This window comes from Homo sapiens, chromosome 17, assembly GCF_000001405.40.
Source record: "Homo sapiens chromosome 17, GRCh38.p14 Primary Assembly".
Classification (NCBI taxonomy): Eukaryota; Metazoa; Chordata; class Mammalia; order Primates; family Hominidae; genus Homo; species Homo sapiens.
Window position 1 is genome coordinate 43,340,795 of NC_000017.11, and position 22,364 is coordinate 43,363,158.

General features: G+C 45.0%; 7 annotated features.

The window, feature by feature from the left end:
• Window positions 10,107-10,401: an enhancer, noted in NCBI's record as "tiled region #4809; HepG2 Activating non-DNase unmatched - State 18:Pol2, and K562 Activating DNase matched - State 6:EnhF". NCBI's record gives its function as "activates a minimal TATA promoter and a strong SV40 promoter by Sharpr-MPRA in HepG2 and K562 cells {active_cell/tissue: HepG2 | K562}" and the evidence as "EXISTENCE:reporter gene assay evidence [ECO:0000049][PMID:27701403]".
• Window positions 10,107-11,519: a biological region, named in NCBI's record as "BRD4-independent group 4 enhancer GRCh37_chr17:41428482-41429681".
• Window positions 10,320-11,519: an enhancer, noted in NCBI's record as "BRD4-independent group 4 enhancer chr17:41428482-41429681 (GRCh37/hg19 assembly coordinates)". NCBI's record gives its function as "activates an origin of replication core promoter dependent on BRD2, P300/CBP, MED14 and CDK7 cofactors, and independent of BRD4, by STARR-seq in HCT116 cells {active_cell/tissue: HCT116}" and the evidence as "EXISTENCE:reporter gene assay evidence [ECO:0000049][PMID:35650434]".
• Window positions 19,249-19,944: an enhancer, noted in NCBI's record as "NANOG-H3K27ac hESC enhancer chr17:41437411-41438106 (GRCh37/hg19 assembly coordinates)". NCBI's record gives its function as "activates a minimal SCP1, AML or CMV promoter by ChIP-STARR-seq in naive H9 embryonic stem cells {active_cell/tissue: H9 hESC(naive)}" and the evidence as "EXISTENCE:reporter gene assay evidence [ECO:0000049][PMID:30033119]".
• Window positions 19,990-20,169: an enhancer, noted in NCBI's record as "active region_12241". NCBI's record gives its function as "activates an Ori minimal core promoter by ATAC-STARR-seq in GM12878 lymphoblastoid cells {active_cell/tissue: GM12878}" and the evidence as "EXISTENCE:reporter gene assay evidence [ECO:0000049][PMID:35858748]".
• Window positions 20,420-20,479: a silencer, noted in NCBI's record as "silent region_8552". NCBI's record gives its function as "represses an Ori minimal core promoter by ATAC-STARR-seq in GM12878 lymphoblastoid cells {active_cell/tissue: GM12878}" and the evidence as "EXISTENCE:reporter gene assay evidence [ECO:0000049][PMID:35858748]".
• Window positions 20,930-21,029: a silencer, noted in NCBI's record as "silent region_8553". NCBI's record gives its function as "represses an Ori minimal core promoter by ATAC-STARR-seq in GM12878 lymphoblastoid cells {active_cell/tissue: GM12878}" and the evidence as "EXISTENCE:reporter gene assay evidence [ECO:0000049][PMID:35858748]".

Sequence of the window (22,364 nt, forward strand, 5' to 3'; positions counted from 1 at the left end):
GTTGAAAAGAATTGCTACTGAACACATTATGTACTTGATAAGAATCATTTGTAAAGGACGGTACTGTCCACATCCAATTCTGGTAAGAATAAACTAAACAGCCAGGCGACATCCCAGTGCATAGTGGTGGATATTTATAGCCAATTGACAGATTAAAGTGCATACCTTCTTATTCTGGTTGAGCTGGAAACCTATCATCATTAGGGACCGGCATGAATGCACTATTATTAGTGTAAACTTCTACTGAGGAGTCCATCCAGGAGACAGACTGAATTAAAGGGGGAAAAGAACACATGCCCAGTAGGTATAATTTTGAGTTGCCCAAACTGGTGGTATACTCACCACTGCACTGACTACCATAAAGGCAGCCAGAATTATATTACCTGTCGTTTTGGGGATTCATTTTTCTCTTAATGATTTTTCTGTTGATGGGATAAGACCTTTATTTGACCCCAAGTTGGTGGAGTTAAATGAGTGGTGTTGTAGGTCACACGGCGAGATTTTGTCTCAATGTCGAGGTCATGAAGTTTATGTGTCAGGCGGTGATACTTGCTCTTTGGTTTCAGAGGGGTCTTTGCCTTTTGTTTCTGGGAGTGTTTCTTCTTGGGAGTTATGGTGCAATTTCAGTTGTCGGGAGGGAACCCACACAGGTTGTTGTCCTTTTCCTGGGGAAACACAAGCAAAACCCCTACCCCATGTTACGACAGTGCCTAATTCCCATTTGTTAGTTTTTGCATCCTTCCACCATACGTGCATTCCTTTTTGTGGATCAAATTTATTTCCAGTGAAATGTTGTTCTGCTGTTGTAAAAAGTTGATTTCTTAGTAGGTTTAAGAAATTTCAGTATAAAAGCAGCCAGATTTAACTAACTGAGCATAAGGGGTAGCAGCATCCCTCTGTTTTAGTGTCCTGTTTCCGAAGTTGCTCTTTGAGTGTTTTATTGGCTCGTTCCACCAAGGTCTGTCCTTGAGAGTTATAGGGGATGCCAGTTGTGTGAGTAATTGCCCATGTCTGAGTGAACTTTTTAAAAGCAGCACTAGTGTAGCTGGGGCTGTTGTCAGTTTTTAGTTTCTTGGGACAGCCCATAACCGAGAAACATGAAAGTATGTGTCATTTAACATGAGCCATACTTTCCCCCTGTTTGACAAGTGGCCCAGACAAAATGAGAAAAAGCATCAATAGTTACATGTATAAAAGACAGCTTGCCAAAAGCAGCATAATGAGTCATATCCATTTGCCAGAGAGCATTCTGTGAAAGTCCTCTAGTGTTAACTTCTGAAGAAAGTGGATGTAAAATTAACACTTGACAAGTAGGACAGTGACATACAATGGTTTTAGCTTGTTTCCATGTGAGGGGGAACTTTTTTCAGAGTCCCACAGCATTGACATGAGTTAAAGTATGAAAATTTTCTGCATATGTAAAAACGGGAGCAAGTAATGTATCAGCTCTGGCATTTGCTGCCAAGAGAGGTCTGGGGAGGGTTGTGTGACCCCGAATATGAGTAATGTAGGAAGGAGAAGACCTTGATCTGAGTATGGACTGAAACCTTTGGAAAAGAAAAAGTAGGTTGTCATCAGGCAGAAATTTGATTCAGGCAGTTTCAATGTTGTGAGCAACATGTACTACATACGCCGAATCAGAAACAATGTTAACTGCTTCAGGGAAATATTCAAGAACAGCCATGATACCAAACAGCTCAGCTCACTGTGCTGAAATAGCTCCTGTGTTAAGAACATGTTCTCTTGGACCCATATATGCTGCTCGGCCATTACAGGAAGCATCAGTAAAAACAGTGGCAGCTTCAGCTAATGGGGTGTTTCTAGTAATGTTAGGCAAAATCCAAGGAGTTTAAGGAACTGAAATAATTTTACATTAGGATAGTGATTATCAGTTATACCCGGGAAACCTGCCAAATGTACTTGCCAAGAGATGCAGGTTGCAAAAGCCTGTTGGACTTGTAATCGGGTGAGGGGAACAATGATTTTTTTGGGCTCTGTACCCAAAAGATGAAGGAGACGAGAACGAGCCTGACCAATTAAGATAGAAATTTGATCTAAGTAAATAGTAAGTGTCCGTAAAGAGCTGTGTGGAAGAAAACACCATTCAATTAAATTATGTCCCTGAATAATGAGTCCTGTTGGTGAATGTTCAGTAGGAAAAATTAGTATTTCAAAAAGTAAATGTGGATTCACTCTGGTAACCTGAGACTGTTCAATGCGTTTTTCTATAAGTTGTAATTCAGAATCCACCTCAGGAGTCAGAGACCTTTTGCTGTGTAAATCAGGATTGCCCCGTAACGTTGCAAAAAGATTAGACATAGCATATGTAGGAATGCCTAAGGAGGGATGAATCCAATTAATATCTCCAAGTAATTTTTGGAAATCATTTAGAGTTTTTAAAGAATCTCATCTGAATTGAACTTTTTTGGGCTTAATAACCTTGTCCTCTAGCTGCATTCCTAAATAGTGATAAGGGGAAGAAGTCTGAATTTTTTCTGGAGCGATAACCAAACCAGCTGCTGCAACTGCTTGTTGTACTGCAGAGAAACAAGATATTAATACAGAGCGTGAAGGTGCTGCACAAAGAATATCATCCATGTAATGAATGACATAACATTGGGGAAACTGATCTCTTACTGGCTTTAGTATGGTCCCCACATAATATTGACAAATAGTAGAGTTATTAAGCATACCTTGAGGTAGGACTTTCCAATGGTAATGTGCTGCAGGAGGGATGTTGTTAAGGGTTGGAACTGTGAAAGCAAATTTTTCAAAGTCCTGAGGGGCCAGAGGAATGTAAAACAAGCAATCTTTAAGGTCAATGATGATAAGTGGCCAATACTTGGGAATCATAGTGGGGGAGGGCAAACCAGGCTGTAATGTCCCCATAGGTTGAAGGACAGCATTTGCTGCCCTAAGATCAGTAAGCATTCTCCACTTACCAGACCTCTTTTGGATAACAAAGGCAGGTGAATTCCAGGGAGAAAAAGAGGGTTTGACCCAATTTTAACTGTTCAAGAACCAAAATATGAAGTGCCTCCAGCTTATTTTTTGGGAGCAGCCACTGATCTACCCAAACCAGTTTCTGAGTTTTCCAAGTCAAAGGGATGGGATCTGGAGACTTGATAGTGACCACTTCTAAAAAGAATAACCAAGTCCTGTAGAATCTGGTTTATGGGTAGGTATAATAGGCTCGGTGATGCCTTGTGCTGATTTTCCCAAGCCCATATCTTGAACAAATCCCATTTTTGTCATAATGTCTTTACTTTGCTGGCTGTAACTGCCTTGTGGAAAAGAAATCTATGTCCCCCATTGATATAAAAGATCTTTTCCCCACAGGTTAACAGGAATGGGTGTAATGAGGGGGCAGATAGTTCCCATTTGTCCTTCAGGGCCCATGCAATGTAAAATTGTGGAGCTTGCATATACTTCTGAAGCGTCACCAACACCAACTAATGCTGTGGACATATGCTCCTTTAGCCAGTGTTGGGGCCATTGATGTAAAGCAATAATAGAAACATCAGCACCCGTATCAATCATTCCCTCAAACTTCCTCCCTTGAATATGCACAGAGCACACAGGATGAGTGTCAGAAATTTTGCTGGCCCAATAAGCCACTTTGCCTTGATAATCTGTGCTACCAAAATCTCTGTTTCTCATACAAGAACTGGATCCTAAAGGAATGTAAGGGAGTATCAGAAGTTGAGCAATGCCGTCCCCAGCTGCCACATTCCAAGGGACTGCAGAGCTAATGACAATATGAATTTCACCTGAATAGTCAGAATCAATTACACCAGTATGTACTTGAGCACCTTTTAAATTTAGACTTGAATGACCAAGTAGCAAACTGACACTGCCAGTCAGTAAGGGACCAAAAACACCTCTAGGAACAGCAATAGGCAGCTATCCAAGCAACAGAGAAATGTCTCTGGTACAAGAGAGATCTATTGCTGCTGAGCCTGCAGTGGCAGGAGACAAACACTGTACTGAGATTCCTGCTGGGGCTGGGCCATTAGATCCTGTGGCACAAATTGCTGAAGTGGGAATTGGGGTGGAGGTTGAATCGATTGGACTGGGAAGGCACCCATCTGGCTGGATGCCAGGGGCTGGGAGTTGAGGAATGCGCCATTGTTTAGAGGGGCCTGGGGCCAGCCCCTCGTTCCATTTCCCTGGTTGTTAAGCGACTGTAAAGGATTACCATCAATATCAAATCTCGAATGGCATTGAGCAGCTCAGTGATTTATCTTTTGGCATCGTGGGCATAAAGTAGAAGGTGGGACTTTCTGTTGTTGAAAAATTTTTTGTTGTTGGTGGTGGTGGGGTTGAAAAGAATGGCAACATGTACACTGGGGACAATTTCTTTTAGCATGTCCTGTCTGGCCGCATATAAAGCATTGGCCAGTGAATTGTCCAGGCGTTCGAATAGAGGCCATGGCTTGTGCCATGATCATTGCTGTGTGCAGAGTTCCTCCCACACCTTCACAGGCTTTAATGTAGGAGGTGAGTATATCACACACACACACACACACACCCATGGAATTTTACCTTTAACAGGGCGAATAGCCACCTGACAATCTGGATTTGCTTGTTCATAAGCCATGAGTTCTACAACAAGTCAATGGCCGTGGCTCAGGGATAGCTTTTTCTGCTGCGTCTTGGAGATGGGCAATAAAGTCTGGGTAGGGTTCATGTTGTCCCTGTCTGACTGCCGCAAACGATGGGCATACTTTGCCATCATCTTGAATCTTTTCCCAAGCATCTAAGCAACATTTCCACAGTTGTTCAATAACCACATCATTTACTATAGTTTGGTTTCTAATTGTAGCCCACTGACCCATTCCCAGTAACTGGTCAGCTGTAACGTTAACAGGAGGATTGGAGCCCTGATTAAGATGAATGTGTTCCTGGACAGCATCAACCCACCAAGTCCTGAATTGTAAATATTGGGATTTAGATAAGACTGACTTTCAGTCAAGTGAGCATTTTTTAAGAACACGTTGTACTGAGAACCACTTAAGCATTGAATGCGGAGAAAGCAGTGCTACCTCAGTTTTGCTGGAAGTAGACTTCTTTGATAGTTTTCTTTCTTTGATGAAGTTTCTGTATTTTCATGTTGTAAGTGGAAATACTTTTTTTTGTTTGTTTGTTTCATTTGCCTTGGAGCCAAAGTTTCTGTTCCTGGTGGTCGGGAAACTGCCTGCCGGCCAACTGACTTGAAGGAAAACTGTGGTATGGAGCTCTGCTTGAATTTTTTTTTTTTTAATATTTTTATTTTTTTCTTTGAATATCATCAGCTTACTTGTCTGGCAAGGGCAGAAGCCTGGGGTTGGCCTGAACTCTGCCAAACAAATATCAAAGTGTATTTAATAGTTAAATTTGTGCCCTTTCCCTTCTTGCTGCACCCATGTTGTCACTTAACCCCCAGGAGTTATTTATTATCTTTTTGTCAAAGTCAGGCTCATTTGGGGTAATGTGATGACTGTTTAGGTTTACATGACCCTCCTCTCCTTTCCCTACCCCCAAATATGTATATATACATATATAAAATATGTATATATTTTACCTATATAAAATATATATATATACACATATATGTATCTATATTCCTTTGTTTCTTTGCCTGCTTATACTGGCCATAAAAGAGGGAGCTGCCTTCAATGTATAAAGTATAAGAAGAGTGCCAGGGAATGCCATAATGGAGGTTTTTGGATCTGAATTTGGACCATTTCACTAAAGAGAACATGAGTTTGCTCAACCCTTTCCTCACAAGAGGGAGGGCCCCGGTTCCCCAGACTTCTCCACGCACTGGCTCCATAAAGGCCAGCTTTGGCCAGGCTGCCACAGGGGCCTGAGGAGCTCACTCTGGGCCTACCTGGTTTCAGTTAGAGGGTCCTCCTGTTATTTTTCCATTTAAAAAGTATGTCCTCATAAAACTGTACTGGAAGGATGGGTGGCAGGAACTTGTATAGTTCAGCTTCCAACACTTTGGAACAGATTAAAAAGGGAATCTTTTAAATAAAAACTTATAAAAATAAAAAAAAATAGATAAGACTGACTTTGCTAAAATCTCCCAGTCATAGGGCACCAAACGTTTATTTATCTTCTGCTAGGGCTTTTAATGTGGAACGGACAAAAGGAGAGTTGATGCTGTATTGTTTTACTGATTCCTTGAAATCTTTGAGGAATTTAGAAAAACTTTCCCAAGGAGCAGGGCGTAGCTGAACCTGAGCTAGAAGTATGGGGTCAGGTTGAACTACTGTCTGAACTGCTGGAATACCAGGTACTGGCTGTGCCCCAGCGGAAGGCAGTTGTGGAGCCTGATTATTTCCCTGAGCAGCCTGATTGTCCGGCTGAGGGGCTTGATTATCAGGCTGTTGATCTTGATGAGCTGCAGGATCAGCCGCCTGCTGAGCAGGATGAATGGGCTGTGGGTGATTTTGTGACCCTGGGGTGGCAGGTACTGGAGGGTGTAAAATTACAAGAAATTACCAGGCACCAGGATCCCCATATTCCCTTGCCTGAACTATAGCCCTCATAAGCGGAGTGTCATTTCCAGGGATGTATGTAACTTGTTGCTTATGAGTGGCAATGGTAGTATTGGCAACAGCAGTAGCGACCAGACGAGGAGCAGAAAAACGGTTGGAATTTTGAAAGAAGGAAGAGTTGAGAACCCGAAGGCCAGGATGAGACCAGATTACCTGCTGAGCAGGTCTTTCATGGGCCTGAAATCCAGGCTGCCACGGCAACTGTGGACCACGCTTCAAGAGAGCCTGAGGCTTCAAGGGAGCCTGATTTGTAGAAAAGGAACCAGGCTTCAAGGGAGCCTGTGACTCCAAGGGAGTCCGATTAGCAGAAAAAGAACCAGGCTTCAAGGGAGCCTGTGACTCCAAGGGAATCCGATTAGCAGAAAAGGAACCAGGCATAAGAAAACTAGGCTGTGGAGGGATAGGGCTGAGGGCCTCATTACCGGGCCGAGAATTGAAAGCCTCCTCATCAGGCTGTATAGATATCAGAGCCTCTGTACTCTGGGCTATCGAGCTGCATGGAAACATAATTTAGAGCCCTGCTTTCAGGCCACCTGATCTCATCTGCTATCTGCATGGCTGCAGCATTGAGAGGGTGAGGAAAGGCAGGAGGGTCTGGCTGCAATGGCTGCTGATACATTTCAGCTGCGTTTTGCTAGTTGGGGGAAATAAGTTCATTCAGGTCAGTTAAAAGTTCATCATAAAGTAATAACTGGGGTGCAGTAGGCTCTGGCGTACGTGGTAGCACCAAAGGAATGTCAGAGTGGAAGTCTGCCTGTAAAATTATGGTCTCAATCTGTGCAGTATCCTCAGGGGAAAGAGAACTGAGAACTTCCTCAACCTCATCAGAGGAGAGGAAACAGGGATCAGTCTCTGTATTGTCCTCCTGAGTCTGTAAGGAGTCTAGGACAGCAAACCAAAGCCCAGATTGACCAAATGGTGGGTGGAATAAAATGTCCCCCTTTATGGGCAATTTTGAATTGTCTGCCAATCTCATCCCAATCCTTAAGTTCTAAAGTTCCCTCAGTCAGAAACCAAGGGCAAAGAAGATCCACAACCTCAAACAGTTCAATTAACTTATCAGTAGAAACTTTAACCCTTCCTTCTTTAAGGAGAGTTTTTATAAAATTTAAATAAGCTGAGTACTTAGTACTGGCCTGTCCCATGGTGTCCCCAGGATACTCTGAGTGCTCAGGCTTACCACCAAGCTTGTCAACCGCAATCCTCAGGAATCTTTTGTCAAAATCCTCCACTGAGTCCCATGCTCAAAGTGCAACTTCACACAGCGAGGGAGAGCCCCACATTGGGCGCCAGATGTAGGGGACAGCCCTACAGGGTCTGTGGGTTTTTCTCCCCATGTGCGGAGACGAGAGATCATAGAAATAAAGACACAAGACAAAGAGATAAAAGAAAAGACAGCTGGGCCCAGGGGACCACTACCACCAAGACACAAAGACCGGTAATGGCTCCAAATGCCAGGCTGTGCTGTTATTTATTGGATACAAGACAAGGGGGAAGGGTAAGGAGTGTGAGCCATCTCCAGTGATAGGTAAGGTCACGTGGGTCACATGTACACTGGAAAGGGGGCCCTTCCCTGTTTGGCAGCCCAGGTGGAGAGAGGAGAGACAGCTTACGCCATTATTTCTGCATTTCAGAGACTTTTAATACTTTCAGTAATTCTCCTACTATCTAGAAGGCAGAGCCAGGTGTACAGGATGGAACATTAAAGTGGACCAGGAGTGTGACCACTGAAGCACAGCATCACAGGGAGATGGTTAGGCCTCTGGATAACTGCAGGTGGGCCTGACTGATGTCAGGCCCTCCACAAGAGGTGGTGGAGTAGAGTCTTCTCTAAACTCCCCCAGGGAAAAGGAGACTCCCTTTCCTGGTCTGCTCAGTAGCGGGTGCTTTTCCTTGGCACTGATGCTACTACTAGACCATGGTCCACTTGGTAACAGGTGTCTTCCCAGATGCTGGTGTTACTGCTAGACCAAGGAGCCCTCTGGTGGCCCTGTCCGGACATAACAGAAGGCTCACACTCTTGTCTACTGGTCACTTCTCACCATGTCCCCTCAGATCCTATCTCTGTATGGCCTGGTTTTTTCTAGGTTATGATTGTAGTGCAAGGATTATTATAATATTGGGATAAAGAGTAATTACTACAAACTAATGATTAATGATATGTACATATAATCATATCTGTGATTTATATCTAGTATAACTCTTGTTATTACATATATCTTATTACACTGGAATAGCTCGTGCTCTCAGTCTCTTGCCTCGGCACTTGGGTGGCTTGCTGCCCACAGAAGCCTCATTACCAGGCCAAACAGGCAGAAGGTTGAGAGCCCCACAGCAGGGCTGAACAGAGACAGAGTTGAGGGCCTCATTGCTGGGCTGAACAGGCGGAAGGTTGAGAGCCCTACAGCAGGGCTGAGGAAAGACAGGAGGGTCTGGCCATGATAGCTGTTGATGATATATTTCGGTTGGAGTTTGCTGGTTTGGGGAAAGATCATTTTTAAAGGTCATCAAAAAGTGATAATGGAGGCATGGTAGGCTCTGGTGTAGGTGGTGGGGCCAAAGGAATGTCAGAATGGAGGTCCGTCTGCAGAATCACGGCCTCAATCTGTGCAGTATCCTCAGGGGAAAGAGAACTGAGGACTTCCTCAACCTCCTTGGAGGAGAGGAAAGAGGGACCAGCCTCCATGTTGTCCTCATGAGGATGCAAGGAGTCTAGGACAGAGTGAACCAAAGCCCAGATTAAGCAAATGTGGGCAGAATAATATGTTCCCCTTTATGAACAATTTTAAATTGTCAGCCAATTTCGTCCCAGAGTTTGAGTTCTAAATTTCCCTCAGTAGGAAACCAAGGGTAAAGGAGTTCTACAACCTCAAACAGTTCAATTAACTTATCAGTAGAGACTTTTACACCTCTTTTTTTTTTTTTTTTTTTTTTTTTTTTTTTTTTTTTTTTTTTTTTTTTTGAGACAGAGTCTCGCTGTGTCTCCCAGGTTGGAGTGCGGTGGCGCAATCTCAGCTCACTGCAAGCTCCGCCTCCCGGGTTCACGCCATTCTCCTGCCTCAGCCTCCCAAGTAGCTGGGACTACAGGCGCCCGCCAACACGCCCGGCTAATTTTTTGTATTTTTAGTAGAAACGGGGTTTCACCGTGTTAGCCAAGATGGTCTCGATCTCCTGACCTCGTGATCCGCCCGCCTCGGCCTACCTCTTTCTTTAAGGAGAGTTTTTATAAAGTTCAAATAAGCCAAGCACTTGGTACTGGCCTGTCCCATGGTGTCCCCGGGATTCTCTGAGTGTCCAAGCTTACCACCAAGCTTATTGACTGCAATCCTCAGGAATCTGTCATTGGTAGTCCTTCGCTGAGTTCCACGCTCAAGGCGCACCTTCACACAGTGAGAGAGAAGACCTCATTGGGTGCCAGACGTAAGGTCCAGCCCTACAGGGCCTGTGGGTTTTCTCTTCATGTGTGGAGACAAGAGATCATAGGAAAATAAGACACAAGACAAAGACAGTAAGAAAGACAGCTGGGCCCAGGGGGCCACTACCACCAATGCGTGGAGTCCGGTAGTGGCCCAGAATGCCTGGATGCATTGCTATTTATTGTATACAAGGCAAAGGGGCAGGGTAAGGAGAGTGAGTCATCCCAAGTGATTGATAAGGTCAAGCAAGTCACTTGTCCACGTGACAGGCAGCCTTTCCCTTTGTGGTAGCCAAAGCAGAGAGGGAGGACAGCATACGTCAGCATTTTTTCTATGCACTTATCAGAAAGATCAAAGACGTTAGTACTTTTACTAATTCTGCTACTGCTATCTTCTAAGAACTTAAAAGGAGGAGCCAGGTGTACAGGCGGAATGTGAAAGTGAACAAGGAGCATGACCACTGAAGCACAGCATCACAGGGAGACGTTTAAGCCTCCAGATGACTACGGGCAGGCCTGGCTACTGTTCGACCTCCCACAAGAGCTGGTGGAGCAGAGTGTTCTCTAACTCCCCCAAGGAAAGGGAAACTCCCTTTCCTGGTCTGCTAAGTAATGGGTGCCGCCTTCCCACGCACTGGCACTACTGCTAGACCAAGGTCTGCTAAATAACGGGTGCCTTCCCAGGCACTGGCACTACCACTAAACCAAGGAGCCCTCAAGGAGCCCTTATTTGGGTGTGACAGAGGGTTCATACTCTTGTCTTCTGGTCACCTCTCACAGTGTCCCTTCAGCTCCTGACTCTGTATGGCCTGGTTTTTCCTCAGTTAAAATAACAAACATTAATACTAAAAACTAATAATTGATAATATCCATATATAATCTCTATATCCTATGTCTAATATAACTTTCTTTTATCCTAACTATTTTCTTTATTATATTGGAGCAGCTTATGCCTTCAGTCTCTTTCCTCGGCACCTGGGTGGCTTTCTGCCCACACTGACTGAGCCAAGTGAATGGAAAGTAAGTCACACTCTGGTGATATACACGTGGTAAACGTGAATGCAGTGATCTTCATACCATATCTACTGAGCCACGTGAATCAAAAAATAGACTCAGCAGAGTGATGTTCATGCGGTAACTGGAAGTCAATCATCTTCATACCACATCTAACTGAGTCAAGTGAATCGAAAATTAGTCAGACTCTGGAGAGCAAAGTACATGTCATAAATTTAAATGACAGGCTCTTTATACCCCTCTGACTGAGCCAGGTGAATTGAAATGTAGTTAGACTCTGGATAGTGACGTACATGTGACGAATATGAATGCAGTGATATTCATACCGCATCTGACTAAGCCAAGTGAATTGAAAAGTGGTAAGACTCCTAATAGTGACATACACGCCATGACATTGAAGGCAGCAATCTTCATACTGCATGTGAGTGAGCCAAGTGAATCAAAAAGAAGTCAGACTCTAGATAGTAACGTACACACAGAAAACTTGAATGCAGCAATCATGTTACAGGAAAGGGGCCCCAATCCAGACCCCAAGAGAGGGTTCTTGAATCTCACACAAGAAAGAATTCAGGATGAGCCCTCAGTGCAAAGTAAATGCAAGTTTTTTAAGAAGGCAAAGTGGTGAAAAAACAGCTACTCCATAGACAGAATAGGACATTCCCAAAAGTAAGAGGAGGAACACATCTATCCTAGGTACAATGCTTGTATATTTGGGGAGATGTGCTCTGCTACAAGGGTTTGTGATAAAAGATTAATGTTCTCAATTACTGTATTTTGCAAGAACCGATATTATCATCTTTGAAGCAAAATTAGGAATGCCTTTGTTCTCCAGATATCGACATATCTGGACATTGCCACGTTTGGGTCTGTTTAGTAAACATTATTAATTTGTTCCCTTAGCCATAAACATCTAGAGGCTAGGAATGCCTGACTTTCTCAGAATCCAGCCCAGAAAGTCCCAGCCTCATTTTCCTAGCCCTCCCTCAAAATGGAGTCGCTTTGGTTCAAATGCCTCGGACATATCTCCCCACTCCCTTTACAACAGGACCCTTAATCCTAAGGGTTGCAGCAAGATGAAGATCTGTCTTGTGTAACTTCTTCAGGCTGAATTGGGGCAATGATATTGCTGCCTAACTATTACAGTCTCTTGCATTCGGGATAGAGAAAAGCTCAGAGAGCGTTGATATGGTAAATGTCATTCATAACTCTGAGTTCTGACGAAAGGTGATATCTGGAAGATTAGTAAGTGTCCAATTTAAAAAAGCATTGAGTGAGCTTGTCTTGCATTCCTACACAAAGAGCTCAACCACAATATTTTCCACAGCAGCAAAGCAAAGTAAGTAAAATTATTCCAAGTAAACTAAACAGGAAGTCTTTCCAAGAACTAGGCAGTTGTTGAAACCAAGCCAATATAGGGTCGATTGACAGCACGCCAATGGCAGAGATATGAGTGTCTAAAGCTTTCATAGCCTGGGTAATAGTATGTGAATAGTCAAAAACATACACACAACATTCGATTTTGATCAAAGCACATGTTTCCCCTTGGGCTGCTGTTAAAATGTCCACATACCCAGCAGTTTATCTGATTATGTAGAGAGGCTAAAGCCTATGCCCACTCAATAAATAAGTTAATCTCTGCATGATTCCAACTTCTACCCAAAAGGAGAATCCCAATCCATATCTTTAGGTTACCCATCTCTTTCATTTCTTCTGAACAGGAGTCGGAGGTCACTGCTTGGCTCACAGGGATAAACGGGATCAGTCTGTGTTCCACCAGATTGCGGGACTTCATAAGAGACAGGTTTCATTCGAGATAAGTGGACCCAGCTGTTTATTCCCAGAAGTTTAACTATAGCTGGCATACTGAGGAGAACTTGATAGGGTCCCTTCCATTTTGGGGAAAGTTGATCTTCTGGGAATAGTTCCAAGTTTCTAACAGGACTCAATCTCCTGGCTGGGTTGTAACAAGAGTCTCTTTCTTAGTGGGGGAAGGGAGTCTTTGGTTTCCATATTTAAGGAGTGCATTTTGCATTTGTTCTAAGTTGATCACATAATTCTGTAGCTTGAAAGTATCTATGTCTATTAGGAGGTCTGTAGTTAAGAAAGGCCTTCCATACATAATTTCAAAACTGGTGAGCCATAGATTTCCCTTAGGAGCCACTCAAACACTTAATAAGGCTATAGGTAATAAAGACAGCCAGGTTTCTGATATCTCCTGGCATAGTTTAGCAAGAGTCCTTTTTAGAGCTTGATTAGCTCTTTCTACTTTCCCTGAAGACTGTGGCCTCCTTGCCAAGTGAAGGCGGTACTGAATTCCTAGGGCTGAAGATACGTTTTGGGTAATTGTCACTGTGAAACATGGCCAATGATTGCTCTGTAAACTCTTAGGCGGACCAAATCTAAGACTTATTTCCTTTAACAGGAGTTTAGAAACTTCAATTGCCTTTTCAGACCAGGTAGGAAAAGCCTGAACCAACAAGTAAAGGTGTTAATGACTAACAATAAATATTTCAACCCTTTACATAGGGGCATCTGAGTATAGTCTATTTGTCAGTCTTCAACAAGGTACATTCCCCTATGCTAAACAGGACTTATTAGGGGAGGAGGTAAAGATTGGTTATTTGGGTTATTCCGGGCACATAGGTCACAGGCCTGAGTTACCTGCTTTACCATTTTAAGTAAGTCTTTTCCTACAAAAAGCCTGGGCATTAATTAAAACAGGGAATCTCTTTCCAGATGAGTAGAGAGAGTCATGCAAATACTTAGCTATTTTCCACTGATTAGCACCTGGTAGTAACAGCTTGTTGTCATTGATAAGCCAGCCAGAAGGATCTTGAATTAAACCCTGACCTTTAGCCCATTCTTGTTCCTCTTCAGTATACCCAGGTTCTGTCATTACCATGGCTGAGGGCACTAACATGCTGACAGGTCCAACTAGCTCCTTTAATGCTGCTGTCTTAGCAGCTGCATCTGCAAAGGAGTTTCCCTTAGCCGCACTAGAGTCTCCTTTTTGATGTCCTCTGCAATGGATTAGAGCTACTTCCTTGGGCAGCAAAACAGCATCCAATAGATTCCGAATTTCTAAGTGATGTTTTATAGGGATCCCTTAGCAGTTGGAAGGCCCTGTTCCTTCCAGATAGCAGCATGAGCATGAAGTGCCAGAAAGGCATACTTAGAATCAGTATTGTGGGGAAAAGCAAGAGAGATCAGATTGTTACTGTGTCTGTGTAGAAAGAAGTAGACATAGGAGACTCCATTTTGTTATGTACTAAGAAAAATTCTTCTGCCTTGAGATTCTGTGACCTTACCCCCAACCCCGTGCTCTCTGAAACATGTGCTGTGTCAACTCAGAGTTGAATGGATTAAGGGCGGTGCAAGATGTGCTTTGTTAAACAGATGCTTGAAGGCAGCATGCTCCTTAAGAGTCATCACCACTCCCTAATCTCAAGTACCCAGGGACACAAACACTGCAGAAGGCCGCAGGGACCTCTGCCTAGGAAAGCCAGGTATTGTCCAAGGTTTCTCCCCATGCGATAGTCTGAAATATGGCCTCGTGGGAAGGGAAAGACCTGACCGTCCCCCAGCCCGACACCCGTAAAGGGTCTGTGCTGAGGAGGATTAGTATAAGAGGAAGGCATGCCTCTTTGCAGTTGAGACAAGAGGAAGGCATCTGTCTCCTGCCCATCCCTGGGCAATGGAATGTCTCCGTATAAAACCCGATTGTATGCTCCATCTACTGAGATAGGGGAAAACCGCCTTAGGGCTGGAGGTGGGACATGCGGGCAACAATACTGCTCTGTAAGGCATTGAGATGTTTATGTGTATGCATATCTAAAGCACAGCACTTAATTCTTTACCTTGTCTATGATGCAGAGACTTTTGTTCACGTGTTTATCTGCTGACCTTCTCTCCACTATTATCCTATGACCCTGCCACATCCCCCTCTCTGAGAAACACCCAAAAATGATCAATAAATACTAAGGGAACTCTGAGGCTGGCGGGATCCTCCATATGCTGAACGCTGGTTCCCTGGGTCCCCTTATTTCTTTCTCTATACTTTGTCTCTGTGTCTTTTTCTTTTCCAAGTCTCTCGTTCCAGCTAATGAGAAACACCCACAGGTGTGGAGGGGCAACCCACCCCTTCACAAAGCTATTTCCATCTGTAAACCATTCTACTTTGGGATTATCTAGAGGCTCATCTTTTAAATGTGGACGGCTAGAGTAAACTTGCTCCATAACTTGTATCCAAGAATGATCTGGGGTGCCTGTGGGTTCAGGCAAGTAGGTAGCTGGATTAAAATCTGGCATACTTTAAGTGTTGTATCAGGAGCATCTAGCAACAAAGCCTGGTATTTATTCACAGGAAAGGAGAAGAAGCATTTTCTGTCTGCCTTGTCATTTCCAAAACATACTACTGTTTGCAGCTGAGTTAATAAACCCCTTCCCAACAAGGGTGGGGCATTCAGGAGAAAACCAAAGTCCCTGAAGAGCAGCTTATAGGATAGGTAAAATGGCATCTATGGGCCTGTCTATCCCCTTGACCATAGAGTTTTGGGATGACAGAGGCCCATTATAATGGGTCAAAACAGAGTAAGCATTCTAGAAGGAAGTTAATATTATTACCTGTCATGTCAAGGGTTATCTGAGGCTTCTCAGAAGATATGGCTAGTTGTCCGACGGGAGGTGTAGCGGAAGGTCTTGGGCCCCGTCACTCTTGGGCTTCCCTGGTTATTTTGGCATCTGGTTTGGGTGCAGATGGCTGCTGTAAGGTACATGGATGTGCTTTGGTCAAGGAATAGCCGAGGCAGATATCCAGGCCTGCATGACTCAGTGAGACTGCTGCACAGGCACTCACCTCCACTTGTTATATAACCTGTTTGTGTAAGCTCATACTTGGCTCTACACCACTACTGTCTGTAAAAGGAATAACTGCCCTGCTGACACTGTGCACGGGGACTCAACATGGCTCAGCATCGCTCTTGTGCAGGCACTGGTGCTCAGAAAGAGAGTGAAGCTACTGACCCCTGTAAGGGAGAATGACTGTCTGACAGGTGGATAGAGGGGAGCCAGGACATGGCTCAGCTTGTGCCCAGAGAGAAAGGTTAAGCTACTGATCTTAGAGCTGGCCTTGCAGACCAGTTGTGCAGCTGTGAGTGGGAGCTAGCTGCTGAGAGGGTCCAGAGTCAGAGCAGACAGCCAAGATAAAGGCGAACAGTATAAAAGAGCTAGTGTGAGAGAACTGCTGATGAGAGAGCTGCTGAATAAAACTACATTTCACCTGTCTACACCGCCCCGAATGTTCTTTCAGCTATTCATCTATCCATCCACTCCTCTCAGACCTCATCATGGGCTGCACCCTAACCCTGAGCATGACATTTGTCATAGTCACGGCCCTGGACCTAACAGCTCCCTTTGGAGGAAGACTGGGCAATCCCTCTTCCAATGACCAGTTTCCTTACAGTGTGCACACTGATTCATGCCCAAAACACGCTGACTTGGACATCCAGCTCTGGGCTTCTCACATTTCAGCTTCCCTTCTTCACTCCAAGAGCCAGGAAAGAAACTCTATGTAGGAGGTGAGCTTAAGGCTGCAGCCAAGAGCTGCACCTTGTGGGAGGTCCTTCTTGCTCCTCTTTCTGCTTCCTGTGCTTTGTCCCCGTTATTAAAAACTAAAAATGCCATATCCAAAAGCTGTTTAATAGGAGTCTAGGGACACATAGTCACATAGTGTGTTTTTGTTTTTTTTTTTTTAGACACAGTCTCGCTCTGTCACCCAGGCTGGAGTGCAATAGCGTGATCTGGGCTCACTGCAACTTCCACCTCATGGGTTCAAGCAATTCTCCTGCCTCAGCCGCCCAAGTAGGTGAGATTACAGGCACTTGTCACCATCCCCAGCTAATTTTTGTATTTTTAGTAGAGAAGGGGTTTCACCATGCTGGCCAGGCTGGTCTTGAACTCCTGACCTCAAGTGATCCACCCCCCTCAGCCTCCCAAAGTGCTGGGATTACAGGCTTGAGCCACCACGCCCGGCTCCCATAGCTGCTTTTTGTAGTTTCCTGGGGATATCAGGGGCAGACTGGGTCATAAAATGTCCTCCCAAAAGGGTTTGTCTCTCCTTTGAGGCAGGATCAGTGATATTATACTTCCCGATTGCTTCAACTAAATGCCCTTGAAACAAACCTGGATTCTCATCTTTATCCTGAGAATCTTCCTTAACCTGTTCATAGATAACAGGCTTTTTCATACATTTCTTCATCCCTTCCAACGAACAAGTGACCATATGATCTCTCCTCCCCAAGTGCTCACTGCGCCTTTGATAATTCCACTCTGCATCTTGATCTGGAACTGCTATACTTCCTGCCTGATACATAGTATGGTACGGGTTGCGAGCCAATACCTCATCTGCATGGGTCCTAGCTGTCCCCAAAATGCATTGTTTCTCCTCCACTGTACAACACAGAGACAACAAAACATGCAGATCCTCCCAAGTTAAACTATAGGTCAGAGTTGATTTCTCAAACTCATCTACAAATTTTCCTGGATCTTCAGAGAAATGACCAACCTTCTCTATATATAGGGTCAAACCAGACGGAGAAAAGGGAACATGTACTCTCACAGTGCCCTCTTCCCGATTTGCCACCTAAGTGGACAAAGATTTCCCTTTGGAGGTTGATAGCAGGCTGCACTATAAGTAGTACTCGGTGGGCTAAGTTCTTTGTGGGAATGGTGGGTACAGAGTGGGACTAGCTGGGTAAGGAGAAGGGACGAAGGGTTCTCAAGAACTTTCAGGTGGACTACAGGGAGAAAGAACTGACACATACGAACCTTCAGAGCTGACAGAAAGGGGTTCCGCTCCACCCAAAAATGCCTGCTGAACCACAGCAGGGCTTGCATTAAAGGATCACCTAGTATGTCTAAATCTTTTTCTTCTTTTCCTCTCATCAAACATGATTCACATTATCCAAATAACATAAGTGAGCTGAGCTATGAATCTTAGATAAACCACAACATGGACTTTGAAAAAAATGTCGAATAAGGCAAAATAAATGAAGAGGATTTAGATGGGAACAACCAGAGTAACCAATAACAGCAGTGAGGATTGGAAAAGCAAAGCAAACACGGTTTGCCCGAATCCAAGAAAAGAAAGTTTTTTTATTTTCTTTTGAGACAGAGTCTCGCTCTGTTGAGAAGACTGCTGGAGTGCAGTGGTGCAATCTCAGCTAACTGCAAACTCTGACTCCTAGATTAAAGCGATTCTCCTGACTCAGCATCCCAAGAAGCTGGGATTACAGATGTCTGCCACTACACCCGGGTAATGTTTGTATTTTTAGTAGAGACGGGGTTTCAACACGTTGGCCAGGATGGTCTCGAACTCCTGATTTCAGGTGATCTGCCTGCCTCGGCCTCCCAAAGTGCTGGGATTACAGGTGTGAGCCACCGCACTTAGCTACAAAGGAGATTTTTTAGTGTGCAAAACCAAACAAAACAGCAAGGAGAAAAGTCCCCTGATTTCCATCCTAGTGCTTCTCAATCACACTCAGCACAGCAGCAACAAAACACAACCACATCTATCGAATCTTACTGCTCATAGCTGTTAAATATCAAATCTCAATCAGCAATTTTAGAGCCGGATCCTCCAATGCTTTTGGTTCCCAGTGTTTCACAAGCAAACGGACAGAAATCGGGAGGGACATAGGAGAAGAATCAGTTAAAATCCCTAAGACCAGTTAAATGAAGTCTCCTGAAAATGACACTGAAACGGAGACAGCAACCAAGACAAGGAGGACGAGGCAGACTAATACAAAGAGCATAGCCTGCGGTGTCAAACCTGTTTTTTAGCCGAGAGGGGCTTTACTGGGAGGGGCCTCTAACCCTCCTCGGTCGGGCCTCTAACCCGAGGTCGGTCAAGTGTCCTTGCCTTTTATTAAGAGGGGCCTCTAACCCACTCTCTTTTAGGAAAGACTCTAACTCCATTAAGTTGGGCCTCTAACCCAATCCCATTCTTTACCCGGGCACTCCACCACTTACCCAAAGTCAGTCTACTGACTACTGCAGTGCTGCAGTCTACTTCCTTTGGGTTGGGGGAGTTTCTTCAGTATCGTCCCTTCCATCATTCGCCAGAAATATGTTATAGGACCCCAACACTTCCCCAAAGCACTATAGTCCCATCTGTGGTGGCCAGAAATACGTCACAGGAAAAGGGCCCCGATCCAGACCCAAAGAGAGGGTTCTTGGGTCTCGCGCAAGAAATAACTCAGGGCAAGTCCGCGGTGCAAAATAAAAGCAAGTTTATTAAGAAAGTAAAGTGGTGAAAGAACAGCTACTCCACAGACAGAGAAGGGCGTTCCTGAAACTAAGAGAAGGAACGTATCCACCCTAGGTACAATGCTTGTACACATGGGGAGAGGTGTTCTGTTACAAGGGTTTGTGATAATTAACTTTAATTATTACATTTTGCAAGAATCCCTATTACTACCTTTAAAGCAAAATTAGGAACGCCTTTGTTCTCCAGATATCCAGCTATCTGGACACTCGGGTCTCTTCAGTAAACATTAATTTGTTCCCTTAACCGTAAGTATCTGAAAGCTAGGAATATCCTTCTGAGAATGCAGGCCCGTAAGTCCCGGCCTCATTTTTCTAGCCCTCACTCAAAATGGGGTCGCTTCAGGTTCCAACGTCTCTGACAGTCATACTACATATGACTCAGCCACGTCAATGGAAAAAGTAGACTGGATAGTGACGTACCCGCAGAAAACGAATGCAACAATCTGTCATACAGATCTGACGGCAGTCAGATTCTGCAGTGAAGTAGAGGCGGTAAACTTGAATGCAACGATCTTCATACCGCATCCCACAAAGCCACGTAAATCCAAAAGCAGTCCGACTCTCGATAGTGAAACACATGCGGTAAACTTGAATGGAAAGATGTTTATACTGCCTCGGATAGAGACACGTAAATGAAAAAGCAGTCCCACTTGGGATAGTGAAGTATGGGCGCTCAACTTAAATAGGACCGTCCGCATATCGTATGTGAGTGAAGCAAGTAATAGCAAAGGGCAGTCAGATTACGGAGACCGATGGCGACTGAAGTGAGTGCAGTAACCTTTAACTCAATGATCGTCACGCCGCAACCAAGTGAAACCGAAAGCAACTAAGCGCTCGAAAGCACGCCCGGCCAGCTCAAAAACTACGGCGCTGATGGACCCCAGTGATCCGACGTAAAGGTGCAAACGTAAAGCGCACACGGCCAATTTAAAAGCAGCGGCGCTGATAGGCCCGGACGAACCGACGTGAACGCGTAGAAGTAAGGTACGCGCGATGAGCTTAAATACGCGAGTACTAAGAGACCGTGAAACCCGGATTTAAGCGTGTAAACGCAACACACAACCTAGGAGGTCAGTAACAACGGTCCCAACTGATGCAAATGGCCCAATGCAAACACGTTGACAATCTCCCGTTAGCGACAGTAACAGACGCTAAGCGCCCAATGCGAACAAAACTCCCGCTTCGAAAACTACACCTCGGAATCCTTCCAGCGATCAAGGGCCAGCAACACCACAAGCCTTCCACTGTATCAACACCGTTTTCAAAACGAAAATGTTAACGATCGGCCACTGTACTCCTTCTCCCACACATCCTAACCTCAGGGTGACAGATAGCACCCTGAATAACTCTCTCTCCTACGTTGAGATTGTGTATCTTTATCCAAATCTGAACACCTGCGTAAGTAATATTGTTACTATTTTGGAGGATATTCACTTTCCTTTTTTGCTCCCATAACTCCCGAGAGAAGCAGCCATTTTAAATTTGCATGCCCCGCCGTGCCCTGCCTGCCAACCACTGAACAGAAAAGCGCCTGTAAATCACTGGAATCTTGGGAAAGCTCCTTCGGCTTCATTGCCCTTCAGGAGGAAAAACCCACAACGGAAAAGACACGAAGAGCTCTAGGAGGCTCTTCTTTCCTCCTCCTCCCCCTCCCCTTCCCCTCCCCTCTCCCTCCGCCTCCCTTCCCCTCCGCATCCCCTCCCCCTCCCTTCCCCCTCCCCCTCCCCATCTCGTCCTGACCTAGCTGGCATCCAACATTACTTTAAACTTTTTTTCACACATACGTTGAAAGAATTGTTTGGTGAACACCCGTATGCCCATCACCTAAAGTCATCTTGCTGTACTTGCTTTATTACATGTGTTACAGACGTCTAATTACATTTTTTTTTTCTTTTTTTTGAGAGGGAGTCTCGCTCTGCCGCCCAGGCTGGAGTGCGGTGGCGCGATCTCGGCTCACTGCAAGCTCCGCCTCCCGGGTTCACGCCATTCTCCTGCCTCAGCCTCCCGAGGAGCTGGGACTACAGGCGCCCCCACTACGCCCAGCTAATTTTTTGTATTTTTTAGTAGAGACGGGGTTTCACCGTGTTAGTCAGGATGGTCTCGATCTCCTGACCTCATGATCCCCCGCCTGGGCCTCCCAAAGTGCTGGGATTACAGGCTTGAGCCACCGCGCCCGGCAATTACATATTTTGTATAGCTGCACACATGGAGACAGGTACTCAGGTCTCGTCCCTCTAGCCATTTCTCAACTGTCTGGTCCGGCAAGGGCAAGTTTTCGAGGAGGCCAGGGTGCAGCCCTCAGGGGAGCACATGCTCTGACTGGTTGCAGGGCTGGGCGGAGCCTTGGGAAAGGGGCCCCTGTAAGAGTTAAAGAAAGAGGATATAAACACGAAAAGAGTTTGGCTCTTGTTGCCCAGGCTGGAGTGCAATGGAGCGATCTCGGCTCACCACAAAGTCCGCTTGCCAGGTTCAAGTGGTTCTCCTGCTTCAGCCTCCCAAGTAGCTGGGATTACAGGAGCGCGCCACCATGCCCGGCTAATTTTTGTATTATTGTATTTTATTTATTTTTTTTTTTTAGAAGAGACACGGTTTCACCATGTTGGCCAGGCTGGTCTCCAAATCCTGACCTCAGGTGATCCACCCGCCTCGGCCTCCCAAAGTGCTGGGATTACATGAGGTACCGCACCCAGCCCCACATTACTATCTTCAAAGCAAACTTGAAAGCAACGATCTTCATACCGCATCCCACAAAGCCACGTAAATCCAAAAGCAGTCCGACTCTGGATAGTGAAACACATGCGGGAAACTTGAATGGAAAGATGTTTATACTGCCTCGGATGGAGACACGTAAATGAAAAAACAGTCCCGCTTGGGATAGTAAAGTAGGGGCGCTAAACTTAAATATAACGATCCGAATATCGCATCTGAGTGTGCCAAGTAATAGCAGAGACCAGTCAGAATACGGATACTGATGTGGGTGCAGTAACATTTAATCCAATGACCGTCACACCGCATGTGACTAAACCAAGTGAAACCTAAAGCAGCCACACTCTCCAAAGTACGCG